Here is an 18,837-nt window from a genome sequence, read left to right on the forward strand (position 1 = left end):
GTCTTTTGACAGACCAAATTGCTTACCATCTGCCTGCCCCCACGGACATGTCAGTTCCCTGAGGGCAGGGATCATTGTTTTGTTCACTGCTAAGTTTCCAACAAGACCTGGCACATAGTAGGCACTCAATAAACAAGTGGTGAAAAGTGATGGATTTGCAAGCTGTAAGGTGTTATGTTAAAAAGCCATTTGATTCTGTAAATCTAAAACTGCTCTAAAAATAAGGCCTACTAATTTTTTTAAAAAAAGAATTTGAAATAAACTGAGGTCAGAGATGCTAAGTGTTTTATACAAAGTCACACCGCAACTAAATGACTAGGCAGAGACAACAACCCAGCCCATCACATAAACAAGGGCCTGGGTGAGGAGAGGCAGTGCCTGACCCATGACAATGCGGCACTGTGGGTGATTTTCAGGCACCAACAGGGAAGTTCGTTTACCTAGAGATGGTTGATGTCTGATCACACTAAGTGGTGACCACCTAGGTCTGGTCCAGCCTCCAGGGGGCAGAGATGGCAGATGGCCTTGGTAGCTGAATGCCCTTCCCTTAGGCTTGGCTTCCTCTCTGGGTCCCCTTCCTCCACAGGGTGACACATGGCTCTGGCCTGTAGCTCAGCTAAAGGTGAAAGTCTCCTTGGCCGCCTGCCAGGGTGACCCCAAAGCAGCTCCAAGCAGGATTATCATGCCTCTAAAGATATAGTCCCCTCCCCAAATAGCAGCCCTGATACTTTCATGGGAGACCCAGGGTAGAGCATGGGAGCGGCCCCTGGAGGCAGGTGCCCTGCCAAGATGGAAGGCCAACTGTCTGGCCCTACCAAGGGCAAAGGCCTGGTTTGGACTCTGTTTCCACCCATTCAGAGGTCCCAGCTTGGCCTGGAGGATGGAGGGCCAGGTAAAGACAAGAGAAGGGGGCTTTCTGCTCCAGCCAAACTCCAGTCTCCACTACTCTGGGCTTCTCCAGGGCACAGGCCGCCCATGAGCTCAAATATACACATGCATACCTGCTCCCACGCATGCACACTCACACTGACCGGGAACACACATGGCACACACTCACATGTACACACATGTGCACTCTCACATCCACACTCACACAGTCCTTGAATACTCACACTTACTCATACACTCTTCCATGCACACCCACACTCACACACACGCAGACACGCAAACACATTTGCTCACTCATACACACGCACTCACACTCAGACCCAAACAGATGCTGCCCCCAGGCTGCTCACTCTCTGCAACAGTTTTTCCCCCTCTCTCAGACAGAACGAGAAGCTCCCTCCCACTGCCGAGGAGGGAAGCAGAGCCAGCCCTGTCTCCTGCCTCCTGCAAGGTTGTGAATGTAGTAGTGTCAGCTTGCAGCAGGGCTGCGGGGCACTCTGTGAACACTGAATCCAGCCCCCTTGTTTTGCTGATGAGAAAAAGGAGGCTCAGAAAGGGGCAGTGATAGCTCTAAGGTCACACAGCATTGCTATGGCAGATCCAAGATGAGGACTTGAGTCCCTGCCTCCTAGCCCAGGGTCTCTACCTGCACCATGCGCCCCACCTATAGGACCTGCTCTTGGCTAATGGAGCAAATAAGTCTGTGAATGAATGTTGGGTGTTTCAGGGCAAGTTACCCTTCCCTTCCCATGATCCACCAAACAGGAGGAGGTGTTTATGTTCACTGTGAGGGTGGGGCATGAAGTACTCTAGGACACACCAGGGTGTGTGTGTGGTGTGTGTGTGTAATAAGTGATGCTAGAACTCATGTATTAACCTTCTGTGCTGGGGCTGTCTCCACAACAGCCCATTTCAACCTCACACTTGCATTCCTCACTTCACGGAAGCTAGAAATCAGAGAGAGCAAGTGACTTGTTCAAGGTCACACAGCAAATAAGCAGTAGAGCTAGGCTTCCAAGTCAAAGTCTGTCTGCCTCCAAAACCTGCCCTCATACCAGCAGCTAAGACACATTACCCCTACTGTGTTCCAGGCACCATTCCACAGGGACTAAGGAATTTCATCCTCACAGCGGGCCTCCGAGGCAATTACTATAGGACTCCCACTGGATAAGAGGGGAAACTGAGGCACAAAGAAGTAAAGCTGCCCAGGCATGGTGGCTCACACCTATAATCTCAGCACTTTGGGAGGTCAAGACAGGTGGATCGCTTGAGGTCAGGAGTTCAAGACCAGCCTAGCCAATATGGTGAAACCCCATCTCTACTAAAAATACAAAAATTAGCCAAGTGTGGTGGCATGCTCCTGTAATCCCAGCTACTCGGGAGGCTGAGGTAGGAGAATCGCTTGAACCCAGGAGGCGGAGGTTGCAGTGAGCCGAGATCGCACCACTGCACTCCAGCCTGAGCAACAGAGCGAGACTCTGTCTCAAAAAAAAAAAAAAAAAAAAAAAAAAAAAAGTAAAGCTACTTGTAAAGCCAAGTCATCCAGCAAATAAGTGTAAAGCTGGGATTTGAAACAACACCGTTCAGGTTCTGCCCATGACGCTGCATTGCCTCTTCTGGATGCTTAACTTGTCCCAGGAGCCACCATCTCAGCTGTGGGTGGAGACATTGATGCTCAAGGGGAATGGGCCTTTCCTCTTTTGGGGATACCCTCCCTCTCCCCTGGACCAGAGTGGAAGGTGGGGAGGGAAGCATAAGAATGGGGCCACTTGCCATCTTGCCAGGGGATCTTGGACAAGCCCATCCTTCCTTCTGAGTCTCAGTCCACAGGCAGGGGGCAATAGGACTAGGTGATCTCTAACCATCTTCTAACTTAGAAATATTGGGCTGGGTCAGGAGCATGCCCCAGCCTCAAGGCTCTCTGGCAGCTTCTACCAGCTCAAATGTGTGTCTGGGAGCCCTTAGAAACATAAAGAAAGACTCAGGAAGGGGCAGGCCCAGAACTCCCTGGAAGGAGCCCTCAGGGCAGAGAGCACTGGTTTGGGAGTCAAGAACCTTGCTTCCAGTTTTAAGTCTGCTGCTGAATTGCTGTGTGACTTTGGGTAGATTACTTGCCATCTCTGGGCTTTAGTTTTCTCATCAAGAAAAATGGGGAGATACTGTTCTACCCTCCTCTAGGGGCTGTTGTGAGTTTCCAACCAGGCAACCAGATGAGGTGTTTGGGGGAAATAAAGGGCTCGACTAATGTTGGCAAGTTACTTTTCCCCTCACTTAGTACCCCAAATAATTTGAGAAATTTAGCTGTTGATTATGATAATAATAAGAGTTTCTGACCAGGCACGGTGGCTAACATCTGTAATCCCAGCAGTTTGGGAGGCTGAGGTGGCCAGAGCACCTGAGGTCAGGAGTTGAAGACCAGCCTGACCAACATGGCAAAACCCTGTCTCTACTAAAAATACAAAAATTAGCTGGGTGTAGTGGTGACAGCCTGTAGTCGGGAGGCTGAGGCAGGAGAATCGCTTGAGTCCAGGAGGCAGAGGTTGCAGAGAGCTGAGATTGCGCCACTGCACTCCAGCCTGGGCAATAGAGCAAGACTCTGTCTTAAAAAAAAGGGGAAAAAAAAAAGTTTCTGTGAATTTCCTGGCCAGATCTACTCCTAGGGGCCAGGCTGAGTGCTCAACTGTGATAACGACGATCACAAATTGAGTGCCAATAATTTGTCCCAGACACTGGGTTGGTACTGTTAATACTATCATTTTTAAAATAAGAAAACTGAGGCCCAGAAAGTTTAAGGACTGCCCACACTCACACAGCCAGGAATCCTATCCCAGATGTGTCCAGCTGTCAAATCCAGCCCCTTAGCCACCAGGCAGCACTGCCCTTTGTCCCCCAAGCAGAACTGCGCTCCTCCCTCCACCAGGCACATGCCCCTGGGAGATATCCCCCCAAACCCAGGTGCCCAAGAATGGGCTGAAAGCAATCGTGTCCCCTCCTGTGTGTGACCTCTGACCTCCCTCCCCGCACACCCCCGCCCCACCTGGGCAGAGTGTCCCCTGTGTCCGCCCGCCTTCCCCGCTCTGACCCTGGCGCCTGCAGGTGCGGCTGGTGATCGCCGAGAAGGGCCTGGTGTGCGAGGAGCGGGACGTGAGCCTGCCACAGAGCGAGCACAAGGAGCCCTGGTTCATGCGGCTCAACCTGGGCGAGGAGGTGCCCGTCATCATCCACCGCGACAACATCATCAGTGACTATGACCAGATCATTGACTATGTGGAGCGCACCTTCACAGGAGGTACGGCTGCCTCCCCACCCAGGGGCCCACTCCATACCACAGATCCTCAGGGGTCCCCACAGGCTCAGACGGGGTCCCAGAACTTTGGGAAGTCTGGGAAATTCACTGGAGCCATGGGCAAGGCCCAGTCTCCCCAAAAAGGAGCCACAGAGCCACAGGCAGGGTTCAGATGCCCCCAGAGCCCCAGAGCCACAGGCATAGCTACTGATCCATACAGAGACCTCCCCTCCCCTGGTACTGTAAGGGCATGACCCAGACACCCCCCCACCAGGAGCAGTGGGGCTATAGCCCTTTCCCCCGAGCTCTAGAGTCACAGGCATGGCCCCTTCAGCATGAGTGGCCCCAGACCACCCTCTAGGTCCCCACAGACAGGGTCCAGATCTCCCAGGGGTTACAGGGCAAGGACAGGGCCCAGCTCCCTCTGGAACATAGATTCCCTAGGACCCCATAGGAACCTGAAGACATGTTCCCAGACGCCCCAGAACCCTGAGACAGGGGAAGGCCCAGACACCCCAGAACCCTGAGACAGGGGAGGGCCCAGATACCCCAGAACCCCATGGACAGGGGAGAGCCCAGACACCCCAAAACCCCGCAGGCAGAGGAGGGCCCAGGTACCCCAGAACCTCGCAGAGACCCCGTCCTCTCCCCTCGTAGGCCCTCCTCAGGCTCAGGAACTTACTGCCCATTGCATAGGCTCAGACACCCACTGGGAGGGCATCAGGGCCCAGACATGCACTGTTTTAAAAGAATGTGAGTTGGTTGCCAACATTTAAAAGTCAAGGGGACCCAAGCATTGAGCACCCAGGTTGCAGCTTCTCTTGAATCCCGCAACACTGGGTCTAGGACCCCGCCTGGCAGCAAGTCTGGAGCTGAGAGGAGCTAACCCTCGGGGACAGCTTGGCAGAGCCCAGTGAGGAGAGATGGCCGGGCCACCACTAGAATCCCCTGTCCGCCAGCAGCCAAGCCCGAGCATGGGGGTGCCCAGGGCCTCTGGGCAGAGACATCTTGGGGCTCAGGGATGCCGGGGGCAGGTGGCCGGGGCAGGTGCCCCTCTGGCTTCCCTGCCCAGCCCCTGGCGGTGCCCACAGAGCACGTGGTGGCCCTGATGCCCGAGGTGGGCAGCCTGCAGCACGCACGGGTGCTGCAGTACCGGGAGCTGCTGGACGCACTGCCCATGGATGCCTACACGCATGGCTGCATCCTGCATCCCGAGCTCACCACCGACTCCATGATCCCCAAGTACGCCACGGCCGAGATCCGCAGTGAGTGCCAGGGCGGCGAGACAGCCCCTCTGCTTTCCCCCTTTGCGCCGCTCCTTTCTTCCAAAGGATGTCCTCCCTCTCCTGGGCCTCTCTCTGTCCTCCCCTTCCTCCTCCTTCTCTCCCTCTTGCATTCTCCATTTGTCCCCGCCTCTCTCTGAGTGCTCGGGGTTGGTTTCTCACTCTGCTGGTCTCTCTCTCTCTCTCTTGCTCTTTCTCTCTGTTCCTCTTGCTTGCCATCCCCTTCACCCCCGACTTCCCGGCCTTCCATCTCATTCACCCAGTTTCTAACAGAATATGTCTCTCTCCCTCTCTGCCAGTCTCGCTCCCATCCCCCTCCCCTGTCCCCTACTCTTGTCCTGCCCCCCCCATACACAGACTATGGGGCTGTCTGTCCCCACAAGGTTTGTTCTCCCCGCACGAGTTTCAGCCTTAGACAGTCAGGGCTGTGCTTCGTGGCCAAGGGCTCTGAGTGACCTCAGGGTTAGGATTACCAAGGAAGACTACCCAGATGTGGCAAGGCCCCCAGTGAGGTCTCAGATTGAAGGTTACCCATGAGCATGTCCTGTCCTAATGGCCAGCCTGGACATGCTCACAGCCTACTTCATCCTTTTGTATCTGACACCCAGTGAATGGGTGTTGGATTAAATCAGATAATCCCTCAGCAGCTGTTTACAGACTACGATCCAGGCTTTGAACAAACACCATGGGGTCCTACAGCCAAAAGACACCTGAAGATTCTTAGTAGATAATAGGTGCTCAGTGAATGGTCATGTCGTCCCCCTCAAAGGAATGTGGCTAATGTTCAAAGGCAGGGTTGGGGCGGTGTTAGGTTGTAGAACTCAACCCTGTCCCTTGAGAACCATTGTCATTGAACAAGACTCAGAATTTTTTTTTTTTTTTTTTTGTGAGACAGGGTCTCCCTCTGTCATCCAGGCTGGAGTGTAGTGGCGCAATCTTGACTCACTGCAACCTCCTCTGCCCAGTCTCAAGCGATTCTCCCACCTCAGCCTCCCAAGTAGCTGGGACCCCAGGCACATGCTGCCATGCCTTGCTAATTTTTTGTATTTTTGGTAGAGATGAGGTTTTGCCATATTGCCCAGGCTGGTCTTGAACTCCTGACCTCAGGTGATCTGCCTGCCTCAGCCTCTCAAAGCGCTGGGATTATAGGCATGAGCCACCATATGTGGCCAAGACTCAGGATTTACCTGTACATCCGGCTCCCAGCAACAGCCCCCTCAACAACATTTATGAGGCCCTGGGCAGGGGACTGGGGACAAACAGGAATAGACACAGCTTCTGCCATCCCAGGGTCAAGTTCCATGGAAGGAAAGACAAGTCACCAGCCAATTACAGTGCAGAACTAAGTGAGTTTGAATGCGCTCTCAGGAGGGCGGCCTGGTACTCTATGTCAAACATGAGAAAGCCCACATCTTGGAGATTACCCTGCAGTTACACTTGAACATATGCACCAAGAAGTATGAACAAAGGTATTCACTGCAGCACAGTTGGCAAGAGCAAGAATATCGCTGGAAATTACCCAGCTGTCATGAATTGGGAACTGGGTAAATAAGTTATGGGTACTTCCATACAACGGAATACTGTGCAGATGTTTTTAAAAATTAATAGGTGTATGGAATGCTTCCTAAGATATATTAGTGAGTAGAAAAAAGTGAAGGGCAAAAAAAAAAAAACAACATCTAGTGTGCTCTCATTAGTACTCAGAATGAGGTTAAATGGACACACAGGTGCTTGCACTGCAAGGAGTATTTCTGGAAGGATACACAGAAGCTGCCAATAGTTTGTGTCTTTGGGGAGCAGAACTAAGAGACTGCAGCTGCAGAGGACAGAGATTTACTTTTATAGTACATTCTTCAATCTTGTTTGAATTTCAACAATATACATGTATATCCTGCTCAAAAATAAATTCGTTTAAAAACGTTTAATCTGGTGCCCATGAGTGTTATGAGCAGGAGATCAGGGAGGTTCTGGGCATACACGATGTCCACCCCAGCCTCCGGGGCCACAGAAGCCTTCCAAAATGCAGCAGCGACCGAGGATGTGTAGCAGGTAGAAGGGGAGAAAGAGGGAGAATTATTTCACATTCTGGAGTAGGACAGGGTGTATTGTTTTTGGGGAATGGAGGAAGCTCAGTGTGGTGCAAGTGTAGCCCAAGGTGGGGTGGAAATGGTCGTGGTGTGTGTCTGGGGAGGAGGGTCTGGCAGAATTTGGATTTTGTCCAAAGAGCAGTGGAGAAACGGTGATGGGAAGTGACGTGGTCAGATCTGCATTTTACGAAGATCTCTCCTCTGAGGGAAGAATGAACGGGGTAGGCCCTGGCTGTTGGTAGGCAGGGTCCTGGCCAAGGGCTGGAGGCAGTCCCCAAGGGCTTCTGGGAATTAGGGGCACTCTCCCTCAATCTTGCCCTGAGCCATTTGAAGGTGCCTAGAAGGCACTGGGAGTCCAGAGCAGACCCAGCCCACCCCCTCTCTCCCCATCTTTCTCTGAGGAGGCAGAGAGGATCTCAGGGCTCCAGCCCAGCTGGGGGATGAGAGGAGGGAGGTCCCAGAGTGCAGAAGGAGTAGAAGCCAGCCTGCAGCGACCCCTTAATCAGTCTCAAGTCTTCTCTTGGGGTGGCCTGCCCTCCTGGAGTCTGAAGCCACCACATGGGCAGCGCTGGGTGACACGCAAGAAAGATGCTGTCCTTGACCTTCACATTCATAAAACATCAATGAGACTTAATATAGCCCTGAAGCTGAATGATCTGGGAGTGCGTTTACTGGGATTTGTGTCAGGACAGGAGATGGGGCAGTAGGTGGTGAAATCTCAGATGACAGAAGCTAAACAACCTAAGTCACTCACTCATTTCATTCATTCATTCATTCAACACTCACTGAGCTCCTGCTCTGTGCCAGGCCTGTGTTGAGTTTTAAGGGAACAAAGATGAATCTGACATAGCCACTGCTCTCCAGAAGCTCAAGTGTTAGAGGGAGACATACACATTCAGTGATAACTACGTTAGCACCAAAATCTCCATGTACAGCAAGCAGGCAGGTTGTGGACTCAAGCCCAGGAGGGCTCTTTTCATATAGACAGCAAGGTTAATGGAGTTGTGAATGGCAGCTCTGATTAGCGTGTTTGCGTTCCCTGGCAGAAGTCTGTAGGGCGTAAACTGGGGAACAAAGACATTGAGCGGGCAGACCTCCTACAGGATCAGGAAGGGCTTCCTGGAGGAGGAAATCTTTAGCTGAATCTAGAAGGAAGCTTTCAGGAAAGGAGGATAAGGCTATTTTAGGAAGAAGTAGTAGTATGAGCAGAAGCCTGGAGGTGTGGAGTGGTCTGGCACATTCAGGGAACAGCAAGCATGTACAGTGGCTGAAATGTACATATTGGGACAGGAACAGTTGGGAAAACTCAGTGAAAGATGGAGTAGGTGAGAGGGAGGGCAAGTGGATCCTGAAGGCTCTTTGAAGGCAAGTTGAGGAGCTAGGATGTTATCCGAGGGCAGTGAGGAGCCAGGGATGGGTTTTAAACAGAGTGGCATGGTCAAGTGTGTGAAGAAGATATCTCTGGTAGGGGTGGGGAGAAGGGCCTGTAAGGGAGAGAGGGGAGGTGACAGAGGGTGGGTGAAACCATCTAGGTGAGACATTAATGGGGTCTGAACTAAGAGAGAGTCAGTTAAATGGAGGAGGTTAAATGTGAAAAAATATGAGAAAGATGGAGGAGGAAGAATCAACAGGACCTGGGAATGACTTGATGTGGGGTGAGGTAGTGGGAGGAGCTGAGGGCAAATCCAGGAATCTGGCTGGGCTTTGTGTTGGGGAGGGGATGCTGCAATTTGGGAAGAATGCAGGGGGAGAAGCAGTGAGGCAGGGAAGATGACCAGGTCTAGGGTTGGGTCTATCGGTTTCTGGCATCTACTACTCGTCCTCAAGGGTACAGTCTCCTCCTCCGTGAGGTCTCTCAGCCCCTTGTGCCCCAGGCAGGCAGCCCCTGGGTCCCTATGCCTTGTGTTCACTCTTCCCTACAGTTTACTCATGCTGTACCATAGAGTTTATTTTTATTTTTTTTAACTGTGTATTTTATAATATTGCTGATGTGTATTATTTATTTATTTTTGTATTTTTTTAGAGTAAGGGTCTCACTCTGTTGCCCAGGCTGGAGTGCAGTGGTGCTATCATAGCTCACTGCAGCCTCGACCTCCCAGGCTCAAGCGATCCCCCTGCCTCAACCTCCTGAGTAGCTGGGACTATGGTGTGCACCACTACACCTGGCTAACTTTTTTTTTTTAAGATGGGTTCTTGCTATTTGCCCAAGCTGGTCTTGAACTCCTGGGCTCAAGTGATCCTCTCACCTCAGCCTCCCAAAGTGTTAGGATTACAGGGGTGAGCCATTGGCTGAGATTTCTTTATGTGCCTATCTCTCCCACCAGCCTGAGCTCAGGGCAGGATGGCATCTCATCCATCACTACGGCACAGCCTGCAGTGCTCCCTAAGTGTTGGCTGTCGACAGTATTACTCTTCTGACCAGTGTTTGGATGGGGCCTACTTCAAGTTGTGTAAGGCAGGTGATGGGGGAGCAACCAAGGTATCAGAGGGATGGGACCTTTCCTATTATCTCCCCAGGACATTTAGCCAATGCCACCACGGACCTCATGAAACTGGACCATGAAGAGGAGCCCCAGCTCTCCGAGCCCTACCTTTCTAAACAAAAGAAGCTCATGGTGAGTACCTCCCGGCCTGCTGAGTCCCCTTCCCTACGAGCTCTTCCACGGAAATGAACAATAGGAGAAACTAAGTAGAAGATCAGCTGATGATATGAAATGGAAAAGCCCCTGGCTTGCTTTTCCAATCCTGTCCCCTGCCATTTACTAGCTGTTAGACCTGGGGTAAGCCACTGCTGCCCTCGGGCCTCAGTTTCCTCATGTGTTAGGTTGTGTCTTTAAAAGCAGAGCATTGGCCAGGCATGGTGGCTCACTCCTGTAATCCCAGCACTTTGGGAGGCCAAGGCAAGTGGATCACTTGAGGTCAGGAGTTTGAGACCAGCCTGGCCAACATGGTGAAACCCCATCTCTACTAAAAATACAAAAATTAGCCGGGCATCATGGCGGATGCCTGTAGTCCCAGTTACTCGGGAGGCTGAGGCAAGGAAATTGCCTGAACCTGGGAGGCGGAGGTTGCAGTGAGCTGAGATCGGGCCACTACACTCTAGCCTGGGCAACAGAGTGAGACTCTGTCTCAAATAATAATAATTATAATAAATATATAAATAAATAAAAATAAATGCAGAGCACTGAACAGGGGTTCTTGGGAAAGGAGGTATTGAAGGATTGCTCTGAGGGGGACCCCAGAGGGATGGGAGGGATAAGGAAGAGGAAGCTGCTAAGCCTCAATTGATTCCACAGGAAGCTCTGGAGCACAAATGGCACCACAAAGGTGATCAACCTTGAAGTAAGGGGCCAGCCTTTTATCCCCTCATATCAGTGGGACATTGGCTACAGATTGTTGGAGGGAGGGGTGCGGGCCGGTAACCTCCCAGGTATTTGTGGGCAATGCAGCTCCTTATTGGCTGAGAGAAGGGGCAGCTGTGAGCCACTAGCAGCCAGCCCTCCCAGCATCTGGGTGTAAGAATGTACTAGGGATCTAGGCAGGACAGCCAAGCTCACAGGACTGTTGTAGGCACCAGATGAGGGTGCTTCATAACGGGGGGGCATCCTATACACTTGGGGGGCATTTGGAGGCTGGGTTTGCAGAAGAAGTTCAGCAAAGCTCCTTCCATCCCTGAACATCCTGGCTCTATTGAGGCCAACTCAGCTTCTCTTGGCCCTGTCCTGCCCCCAGGCCAAGATCTTGGAGCATGATGATGTGAGCTACCTGAAGAAGATCCTCGGGGAACTGGCCATGGTGCTGGACCAGATTGAGGCGGAGCTGGAGAAGAGGAAGCTGGAGAACGAGGGTGGGTGCCAGCCCTGGGGGAGGTGGGGGCTGCAGCCCACCCAGCCTACTCTTCCCCTGCCCAGTCTCAGCCTCTTTTTTCCGCAAAAGTCTCAGAGGACCTCCCAGGTGGTTAAGAGGATGGGCTATGGAGTCAGACTAAGGTTCAAGTCATAACTTGGCCACTTCCTAGCTTAGTAAATGTGGTCAGGTTCTCCCCTCTCTGAAATTCAGTTTCCCATCTATAAAATGGGGATAATAGTAGGACCTGCCTCAAAGAGCTGTTGAGACATTGTGTGAAATAATACACGTAGAGTGCTTAGATCAGGGCTTAGCACACAGTAGGTGTTTAATAAAGGTAGGTGAAGATGATGTTAAGAGGCAGCTCATAGATGTCATGGTTAGGGCCAGAACTTGTTCCCTCTCGATGGGTCCAGTGTTGTTTCCAGCATGTCACAACTGATACCACAAGCACAAGACCTTATGTCCCGAACAGAGACATCATCATGCATACTGAATACTCGGTTGCTCCCCCATCACCTCCCTTACACAACTTGATGGCCACTACCCACCACACCATCCCACTTGCCCTGCCCAAGAATGCATTATAGCTCCTTCGTGCTCCAGCCAGACATCCAAGCTCACCCAGACTCTCGTTGACCTTGACTCTTCCTGCTCCCAGCTGGGCCTCTAAACTTGGACATGCCAGCTTCATTCTACCTCCATGCTTTTGCTCCCACAGCCCCTCCCTCCTGGAGCACCCTTCCTACACCACTCCACTCCATTTTGCCTGTTGCACACCATCTTTGCCACAGCCCTTCTTCAAATCTCATTCTGAGCTTCCCATCTTGCTCCGTTTAAGACCTGTGATGAGTCTTGTCTCCTGAACAATGCAAATTTATGGTGCATTTGCAACAGCCTCCTGCACATGCATGGCTATGTGTATGGGAAGGCCGTAGAGCCCAGGGTCTAAACAGATGGGGTTAGAGTAAGAAAAACTTGAAATAGAGTTCCAGCTTTGCTGCCTCAAATATGTAACCTTGGACAAGTTGCTTTCCCTATTGAAGCCTCAGTTTCCTCATCTATAAGATGGGATGGTAATAATACAACTTAACCTTGTCTTGCTGGACTCTTGTGAAAATTCAATATACTCAGCACACTGCCTGTCCCATTACTAGTTTAATACATATGGCAGCTAAAGGGACACACATTCTCCAGATGAGAAAACTGAGGCTCAGAGAGATGAAGTGAGTTGCTCAAGGTCAGGCAGCTCATAGATGTCATGGTTAGGGCCAGAACTTGTTCCCTCTCGATGGGTCCAGTGTTGTTTCCAGCATCTCACAACTGATGCCACAAGCACAAGACCTTATGTCCCGAACAGAGACATCATCATGCATACTGAAGCCAGCTGCCTTAAATCATTTCTGGAAACAAAGCCTGGTATGACTAAGTGAGTAAAAAAAATAACGCACCTCAAAGGGGAACTTTTGGCTGGGCACAATGGCTCACGCCTGTAATCCCAGCACTTTGGGAGGCCGAGGCGGGTGGATCACCTGAGGTCAGGAGTTCGAGACCAGCCTAACAACATGGCAAAACCCTGTCTCTACTAAAAATACAAAAACTAGCTGGGCGGGGTGCTGGGTTCCTGTAATCCCAGCTACTCGAGAGGCTGAGGCAGGAGAATCACTTGAACCTGGGAGGCAGAGGTTGCAGTGAACTCAGATTGCGCCACTGCACTCCAGCCTGGGGGACAGAGAGAGACTCCATCCCCTGCCCCCCAACCAAAAAAAAAAAAGGAACTTTCCTGTTTCTATCCTAACGGTAGCTAAGGGGAGCTGTTGCAGAGTTAATGGCTCTGAGGGGCCAAAAGGCTTGGTAGTTCAGAGATGGGCCTTTGGGGGACAGAGTCCCAGCTCTGCCATGCTCTCGGTGGGTGACCTTGGACATCAAGTATATGTTATTCACTTATGCATTAGTTTCTTAGGACTTCCATAACAAAATACTACAGACTGAGGGGCTTAAACAGCAGAAACCTATTGTCACACAGAGCTGGAGGCTAGACATCTCAGATCAAGGTGCCTGTGGGGTGAGTTTCTCTCGAGGCCTCTCTCCTTGGCTTGTAAGTGGCTGCCTTCTTGCCGTGTCCTTACATGGCCCTTCCCCTGTGCTGCACATGCCTGGTGTCTTTGAGTCCAAATTTCCTCCTATAAATACTTTAGTCTGATTGAATGAGGACCCACCTTAAGCTCTTCATTTTAAGGTAATTATCTCTTTAAAAGCCCTGTTTCCAAATACAGTCACATTCTGAGATTTTAGGAGTGTCCAATCTTTTGGCTTCCTTGGGCCACATTGGAAGAAGAGTAACTGTCCTGGGCCACACATAAAATATGCTAACACTGACGATAACTGATGAGCTTAAAAAACATCGCAAAAAATTCTCAGAATGTTTTAAGGAAGTTTATGAATTAGTTTTGGGCCACATTCAAAGCCATCCTGGGCTGCATGTGGCCCGCGGGCTGCAGGTTGGACAAGCTTGCTCTAGAGCTTAAGGCTTCAACATGTGAAGTTTGTGAGGGTCACAGTCCAGCCCAGAAAAATCTATATATTTAATAGAGCTTACTGTGTGTCAGGCCCTGTTCTAGGTGTTTCACAGATTTCAACTCACTTAATCCCCATAACAACCCCAGGAGGTGGGTAATATCAGCGATCCTGTTTAACAGATGAGGATCCTGTTTAACAGAGGAGGAAGCACTGGCTCTGGGCTCTTTCCTGTTCTATAAAAGGGTGATAGGTTGGGCACAGTGGCTCACGCCTGTAACCCCAACACTTTGGGAGGCTGAGGCAGGTGGATCACTTGAGGTCAGGAGTTCGAGACCAGCCTGGCCAACATGGTGAAACCCTATCTCTACTAAAAATACAAAAAATTAGCTGGGCATGGTGGTGGGCACCTGTAATCCCAGTTATGTGGGAGGCTGAGGCAGGAGAATCACTTGAACCCAGGAGGCAGAGGTTGCAGTGAGCTGAGATTGTACCACTGCACTCCAGCCTAGGCACCAGAGCAAGACTCTGTCTCAAAGAGAAAAAAAAAAAAAAAGGCAGGGGGTGATAACATGAGTGCCTACGTCCCAGGGCTGCTGCGAGGATCAATGAGCAAATGCATGTAAGGGGCTTAGCACAGTGCCCGGCACACAGTACAGAAGTGTTCATATACATTGTGATCCAGAGAGACCCAGGGTCTGAACTGGATGGAGGCTAGGGTGGATGGTTCTGGAGAATAGCCTCAGACATGCATTCCTTGTGGGATTCCTAGGCTGGGACCCTACTGCTGACCGCTGTCCTGAGGTCTTCTGAGAGGAGACAGCATTGCACTGTCCCATGGTGAGATAAGTGGGGTTGCTCAAGATGGAGAGGTGTCGACAGTCCTTGCATCCCTCTGGGGCTGGGGGAGGTAGCAGAAGCCCCAGGGAAGTGGTTATGGATTTTAAAGGTCTGACTGGCTGGGCCCACATGGCCTCGGTTGCTCATCCAGGTTCCCTGAACCTGACTGGGTTAAACACTTTTATGCCTTCCATTTCTTCCCTCGTGGGCAGAGCCCAGTGTTGGAAGGGATTTTAATGTCACAGTTGAGACCCCTTGCATAGAGCCAGATGGCTTTGATGCAGATTCCTGATCAACCACCTCCTAGCTCTGTGACCTTGTGGAACTCACTTCATCTCTCTGAGCTCATCTGCAAAATGTTGATAGTAATAGAATCAAACTCATAGCAGGGTTGCTGGTGGAAGATTTGTTAAGATAGTAAATGTTGAGTATTTTGCACAGTGCCTGGCTCAAGGTAAAATGTTCTAAAAATAATCATTATTACCATTCTCTTTCATTCATGTATTCAAATATTTATTGAACACCTACTAGATGGTAGGTCCTAGGGATAAACTAATGAGTAAAACTCAGACCTCATTCTTGGTTTCATGGAGTTTGCAGTCTTACAGAGGAAAAAGACATTAGTCAAATAATCCCATAAGTAAACACAGAATTGCACACAGCGATAAGTGTTAAGATTGAGAGTAAATGAGCAGGATAAAGTGGATAAAGTTTCCCTGAGAAGGTGATATTCAAAGTGAGACCTGAAGGATGAGAAGGAGCCTGGAGAAGAATCAGGGCAGATATGACCCAGACTGAGGGATGCCATGGAGTGGGAGAGAACTGGGAACTCTTCAGGAATGGTCTGCTGTGTGGGGAGTCCTCGGGAAAGTGGTGGGAATGAGGGGAGAGCTGGAGCGGGTGAGGTGAGATCACGGGCCTCAGAGCCTACATTTACAAGTTTGGATTTTATACTAAGTACAATGGGAAGTCCCTGGAGGGCTTTGAGGAGGGTATTGTATCAGTTAGTTTCTGCTGTATAACAAACCATTGCAAATCTGAGTGACATAAAAGAAGGGCCTTTTATTTGTTCATGATATGTGGCTTGGCAGTATGGGCTGGGCTCAGCTGGGACGGCTTGCCTCTCACACATGGGGAGCGGCTGACCTCATTCCTGCATTTGCGGCCAGCAAATTTAAGACAGTAAATGTTGATTACTTTGCACAGTGCCCAGCTCAAGATGAAATGTTCTAAAAATTATTATTATCACCATTCTTTTTCATTCATTTTTTCAAATATTTATTGAACATCTCCTAGATGCTAGGTCCTAGGGATAAATTAATGAGCAAAATCCAGATGTCATTCTTGCTCTCACGGAGTTTGCAGTCTTAGAAAAAAAAAACTATGAGTCTTAGATGGCAGGAGCAGCAAAGCCATCAAGATGCACACATTGCAAAGTGGCATGTGTACAGGAATGGGAGGAACTCATGGCCCTGTTTGCAGTCTCCATGGGGCTGAGTTGTTCCGGTTTTATATTTGAGAGAATTCCAACTGCTGCGTGAAAATGGATTTCAAGGGAGACAGAGGGGAGGCCGGTGCAGCAGCTCAGGTGAGAGATGATGTTGGCGTGGACTGAGATGGTTGCAGTGGATATGGTGAGGTGTGAATGGGCTTGAGAGGTATTTTGAAGATAAAATGAGCAGGAATTTACATGAGGGTTGGGAGTGAGGTAAAGAGAATCAAAAGTAATTCCTGGGCTGGGCACAGTGGCTCACACCTGTAATCCCAGCACTTTGGGAGGCCAAGACAGGTGAATCACGAGGTCAGGAGATCAAGACCATCCTGGCTAACACAGTGAAACCCTGTCTCTACTAAAAATACAAAGAATTAGCCGGGTGTGGTGGCACGTGCCTGTAATCCCAGCTATTTGGAAGGCTGAGGCAGGCGAATGGCTTGAACCTGGGAGGCGGAGGTTGCAGTGAGCCAAGATTGTGCCACTGCACTCCAGGCTGGGCGTTTGGGAGACAGTGAGTTTGTGACACCCAAGAGAGAATGTCACAGAAGCCATTAGATATTCCAGACTGACTCTCAAAGGAGAGGTCAGAATTTGGAGATTCAGGAGTTCTCAGCCAATACATGGTGTTTAAAGCTATAGAATTGGATGTTTTCATCGAGGAAGAGAGCAGAGAGAGACAAAAAGAGGAATCAGGACCTGCTGTATTAGTTATCTGTGTGGCATAAGAAACTGCTGTCAACCTCAGTGTCTTAAATTTTTTTTTTTTTTTTTTTTTTTTGAGACGGAGTCTCGCTCTGTCGCCCAGGCTGGAGTGCAGTGGCGGGATCTCGGCTCACTGCAAGCTCCGCCTCCCGGGTTCATGCCATTCTCCTGCCTCAGCCTCCCAAGTAGCTGGGACTACAGGCGCCCGCCACTACGCCCGGCTAATTTTTTGTATTTTTAGTAGAGACGGGGTTTCACCGTTTTAGCCGGGATGGTCTCGATCTCCTGACCTCGTGATCCACCCGCCTCGGCCTCCCAAAGTGCTGGGATTACAGGCGTGAGCCACCGCGCCCGGCCTGTCTTAAATTTTAAAATCATTTATTATGTCACACATTTTCTGTGGATCTGGAGTTCTGGAGCAGCTGAGCTGGACAGCTCTGAGTCAGGGTTGCTTGATGCAGGTTGCCTTCAAGCTGTCAGCTGGGGCTGCAATGATTTGAAGGCTTGACTGGGGCCGGAGGATCCACTTCCAAGCTGCCTTATTCATGTGGTTCTTAGCTAGAGGCCTCTATCCCCTGCTGGCTGTCGGCAGGAGACTTTAGTTCCTTACCATGTGGGCCTCTCAATAGGCTGCTTGGGTTTCTTTACAGCATGGCTGCTGGCTTTCCCTGAGCAAGTTATTCCAGAGAAAGAGAAGACGCAGAAGCCACAATGTCTTTTATGATCTACTGCTGGAAGTCACTCTGCCCCATCATTCATTAGAAGTCATGAAATACAGCTGCTATTCAAGGGGAGGAGAATTGGGCTCCGCTGAAGGGAGGAGTATATCAAGTGATTTGTAGGTGTACTTTAAAACTGTCGCAGCTGAACCAGGCAAGGTCACGTGCACTTGTAATTCCAGCTAGTTGGGAGGCTGAGGCAGGAGAATCACTTGAGCCCCAGGAGTTCGAGACCAGTCTGGGCAACATGGTGAGACTCTGTCTCTACAAGAAAGCACAAAAATTAGCTGGATGTAGTAGTACATGCCTGTAGACCCAGCTACTCAGGAGGCTGAGGCAGGAGGATTGCTTGAGCCTAGGAGGTTGAGGCTGCAGTGAGTCGTCTTCTGGGAGACAGAGTGAGAACCTGTCTCAAATAATGATAATAATAAAAACGTAACTACCACATCTATGCAGAGGTTCTCCCACACTAAGCGGGTATCAGCGCAGAGGAGTCAGCAAAGCCCACTGAGGAGTGGCCAGTGAAGTAGGAAGACCCACATGTTAGGAGGAACCGTGGGAGGATTGGGTTTTAAGGAGACAGAATGGTGTCAGTGCTGCTGGGAGCTTGAGCAAGCCAGGATAAGAAAGTGTGCCCTCGGCTTTCTACCATGGATGTCAGCGGTGACCTCGCCAGAAGCATTTCACTGCAACCTGGGGCAAAAGTCAGATTGGAATGGACTGAAGAGTGCATGGGAGGAGAGGAATGAAGGCGGTGAGTGTAGATACCTCTTTTGAGAAGGGTAGAGGTGAACAAAGAAGGTGGTGGTGGCTGAAGAAGGATGTGGGGTGACAGGAGGAATTGTTTTTGGACAGGAGATGTACAAATGTGTTCTCATGCTGGTGGAAACAGTGCAGTAGAAAGGGGGAATCGGGGGTTCAGGACAGCGATGCAGAGGCCACGAAGACAGGAGGGGCGTGGTTCAGGCAGGGGCCCCGTAGAAAACAGAGGACATCTTCAAACAGGGGAAATGGAAGACGGTTCAATAAAGGGACTCTTTACCAAGCCACAGGCAGGATGCAGGGACATCCCAAGGCAGAGAGGAGTACCCCAGGCCTGAAGTCTTGAGATCACAGGGTCATGAGAGCAGATTCAGGAACCTGGACAGAGGTGGTCACTGCCAGCCGTGATGAC

General features: G+C 50.6%; 1 protein-coding gene across 6 annotated transcripts in view; it reads left to right on the top strand.

Moving 5' to 3' along the window:
• GDAP1L1 (ganglioside induced differentiation associated protein 1 like 1) overlaps positions 1-18,837 on the top strand; it is a 33,849-nt gene that overhangs the window by 6,070 nt on the left and 8,942 nt on the right. For 2 of the 6 annotated variants that reach the window (NM_001256738.2, NM_024034.6), the window contains exons 2-5: positions 3,985-4,177; positions 5,266-5,439; positions 10,062-10,159; positions 11,277-11,391. In NM_001256738.2, coding sequence (NP_001243667.1) covers positions 4,072-4,177; positions 5,266-5,439; positions 10,062-10,159; positions 11,277-11,391 — 493 coding nt within the window. In that variant the 5' untranslated portion in view covers positions 3,985-4,071. Of the gene's footprint in view, positions 1-3,984; positions 4,178-5,208; positions 5,440-10,061; positions 10,160-11,276; positions 11,392-18,837 lie in introns of all 6 variants that reach the window. The other 4 variants (NM_001256737.2, NM_001256739.3, NR_046353.3 and 1 more) reach the window with 4 other exon arrangements.

This window comes from Homo sapiens, chromosome 20, assembly GCF_000001405.40.
Source record: "Homo sapiens chromosome 20, GRCh38.p14 Primary Assembly".
Classification (NCBI taxonomy): domain Eukaryota; kingdom Metazoa; phylum Chordata; class Mammalia; order Primates; family Hominidae; genus Homo; species Homo sapiens.